At 51.5% G+C, this 3,361-nt stretch overlaps 1 annotated feature.

Annotated features, from left to right (window-relative positions):
- Nucleotides 2,537–3,037: an enhancer, noted in NCBI's record as "H3K4me1 hESC enhancer chr20:36070038-36070538 (GRCh37/hg19 assembly coordinates)". NCBI's record gives its function as "activates a minimal SCP1, AML or CMV promoter by ChIP-STARR-seq in naive H9 embryonic stem cells {active_cell/tissue: H9 hESC(naive)}" and the evidence as "EXISTENCE:reporter gene assay evidence [ECO:0000049][PMID:30033119]".

Genomic DNA, 3,361 nt, shown 5'->3' with positions numbered 1-3,361 from the left:
AAAAAATTAGCTGGGCATAGTGACACATACCTGTAGTCCCAGTTACTCAGGAGGCTGAAGTGGGAGGATCGCTTGAGCCCAGGAGTTAGAGGCTGCAGTGAGCTATGATTGTGCCACTGCGCTCCAGCCTGGGCAACAGAGCAAGACCCTGTCTCAAAAGAAAATGAATGTTATAAAGGGTGAGAGGAGAGGCGGCAAAGGAGGAGCAAAAGAGACTAGTAGAAAGACACACCTTCCATTTGTCCATCCTCCTCTCCAACCTGAGACCCAAAAGGAAGCCAGGTGCAGGTCCTCTTCCCAGGAAGCTCCATGTCTGAGCGAAGAGAAAGATGCCCTCATACCCATGCCCGGGGGCTCCTGGAAGACAGGAGTCAGCCAGCAAAGGCCTCTGTGGGGACGACCCAGGGCCTCATTGTCCTCATTGCACCTGCCAGTTGTACACTGTCCTCCCACCCAGTTTCCTCACTCTTATCTAGTTTGGATTCCACAGTCCCTCTCTCTTTGTTGTTGAACTTGCAAAGCCTCAGCTCTTCAACTGCACAGACTTTGATTCTCCACTTATTCTCAGCCTCCTTTGTTTTTTTCAATGATGCCTTATTCTTAATACGTGGAGGGGGAAGGAAGAAGAAGGAGGCCAGAGGTGGAGTAGGAGGACATACCTGTAGGGTGTTCATAGGGAGACTCCGTCTCCACCCCAGGCAGATGGGAGCTTACGTCTGGACTTTACTGTGTGCAAAAAGGCATGGATAGTAAGCCACCCTGTTTCCCAGAGAAAACTGCCCCAGCAGAAAAGGCAGAACAGGAAGAAGCGGCAGGAAGTTCAGGCCTGGGGCTCTGGACCTTGCCTGAGCCTGGTGGTGGGTTCAGAGCCAGCCACAGGTAGCCATAGAGAAGTGGGGCTGTGGAGAAAACAGCAGAGCTTAGGATTCCCTCCCCAGCACTTCTGTGCACAGGAGTTGGTGGGGGGCAGGGCAGGAAGGAGACATTAACAGAAGGCCAAGATCTCAAGAGAATTTCTCCCTGAACTCTGGGCTTCTGCAGGGCATAGCCTGGGGTTTGGGCGTCTGTGTCATAATCAGAGCACCTAGGAAGTGTCCAACTGATGTTTGGTGGTGGAGGGATGGATGTTGGAGGGATGGATGGATGGATGTGGTTCAGGCACTAGATTCTTACATCAGGGCTGAGGCAGGGGCTGAGGGGATGGAGAGGGATTATCTACCTGCCCTTTCGAGGGAGATGTGGCAGGAAGAGGGGACAGATGGACCATGAAGACAGGGATAAGAGCAGCCAGAGGTGACTTGGTGCTCCTGGCTGCTGAGCCCTGGGTGGCAGAGATGCTCAGTGCCAAGGAGAATGGAGATAGAGCACCTCTGGTGGGTACAAAAACAATGCGATGGCTTGAGCTGGGCAGGGCTTCGTCAAGCTTGAGCCTGTGTCTTAAGGGGAAGGGAAAGGGTCTGGGCTGCATGAGGGGCCAAGGGGGTGGTGTCAGCACAGAAAGCTGTGGGTGAGCACATCCAGGGAATGTGTGCAGAGAAAGCAGAAGACTCCAGATAGGCCTTGGGGCCCCATGGTGTGAGAACAGACGGAGGGGGAGTTAGGGAAGTAGAGGAGGAGAGACAGGACAGACAGACCACCCTTGGCACTGAACTAACTAAGCAGTTTATAGACAAATAAAAGAGCAGGAGACAAACAGCAAGGAGAGTGACAGAGAGGGTGGGGGGCAACTCTAGTCACACCTCAGAGCAAGAGATGAGACCCACATGTGTGTTCACAACGGTGACTGGAGAGGAAAAAGGACATGGGTCCTGGCACTCAGTAGCTGCTGTGTTTGTGGATGGATGGATGGATGGATGGATGGATGGATGGATGGATGGATGGATAATGAATGAATGGATGGAGAGATGGATGGATGGATGAATGAATGGATGGGAGAACAGATGGAGAGATGGATGGATGGATGATGAATGGATGGATGGATGGTTGGATGGATGATAGATAATGGATAAATGAATGGATGAATAGATGGAGTGGAAGGATGGGTGGATGGATGGAGTAATTCAGGGAGTAAGAATAAAATCAGATAAAAGAGCCAGGAAGAAAAAGACTCCTATGTGACCACTTTGCTGGTCATCATTGTGATAACCAAAATTTCCTCTGGGAAAGGGGGTGGAAACTAGGATCAGGAAAATCAATAAGAAATTTAGAACTTTAGAGCAAAACTCCACAAGCCCCAGAAAAGAGAGAGCTGCAGGGGAAAGTCAGCCAGCACATGCACAAAGCACACACACACACACACACACACACACACACACACACACACACACACACAGAGATACACTGCAAGAATGACGCACAGCCTCAGAGCAAAATTCAATAACTCTCCTCTAGAGAGAGGGAAAGAGCAGAGATGAGCAAGACAAAGTCAGATACAGGAAGAGAAGGGGGAGTAGACGTCAATAAGAAAGTTGAAAACAAGAGGGGGCGTGAGCCATGCCAGCAGGCAGTGGGGGTGGCAGGCAGAGGCCCAGCATGGGCTCACAGGGGAGCCAAACCCTCCAAAAGGTATGCCACTCCGCACATGGCACCTGGGAGGGGATCCATGCACATTGGCTGGATGGATGTGTGGATGGGAATGATGGGTGGATGAAGTAACCCAGAGACTGGAAACAAAACCTGATAAAGGGCTTGGAGAGAGAAAGTTCTAGATGCCCTCTACTTCCCCTGTCCCTTTCACCCTTCTCCTTTGCTCTAGGAGGCTGATGACACCCTTCAGGGAGGTGCTCTTCCCTCTGGCTTCCAGCTGGGCTTGGCCAGTGAGATGGCCAGCAGGAGATGATGGGGGAGGAGAATGAGATAAGGATGCTTATCCCCCCGGGTCACCTCAGTCTGGGTGGTCCCTCTCCTAGAGGTCTCAGCTCCCAGCAAGGCAGCCCCTCTAGGTGACAGTTTGCCTCCAGGGCCTGGTCACTCATTACTTCCACCCTTCACCCCTTAGGGAGTAGGGGGTGGTCACAGCCTCACAACTATTAGCTCTAGGTTTCTGCAAAATCCCACATCCTGCAATACAGCACCTTTGTAAACAAACTCGCCTCAGATTTTCCTAAATTTAAGTGTTCCATCCCTTTCCTGTTAGGACCCTGACTAACACAAACCCACAGTGAAAAAAATAGACAACACAAACACACACACCCCATGCTGGGACACATAAAGTGACAGCAACATCTAGAAAGAACAGGGAGGGATGAGAAGCTGAGAGGGAACAAGAAAGAAAAGGAGACAGAAAGAGTAACCCAGGGCCCCAGGAGGCGGAAGGGAGAACGCACTAATGGGAAGGGGAAGCAGGGACACAGGTGTTCGC

The sequence above is a fragment of the Homo sapiens genome, chromosome 20, assembly GCF_000001405.40.
Source record: "Homo sapiens chromosome 20, GRCh38.p14 Primary Assembly".
Lineage (NCBI taxonomy): Eukaryota > Metazoa > Chordata > Mammalia > Primates > Hominidae > Homo > Homo sapiens.
Note: the sequence above shows the minus strand (reverse complement) of the source record. Positions and strands in the feature narration are given on the sequence as shown.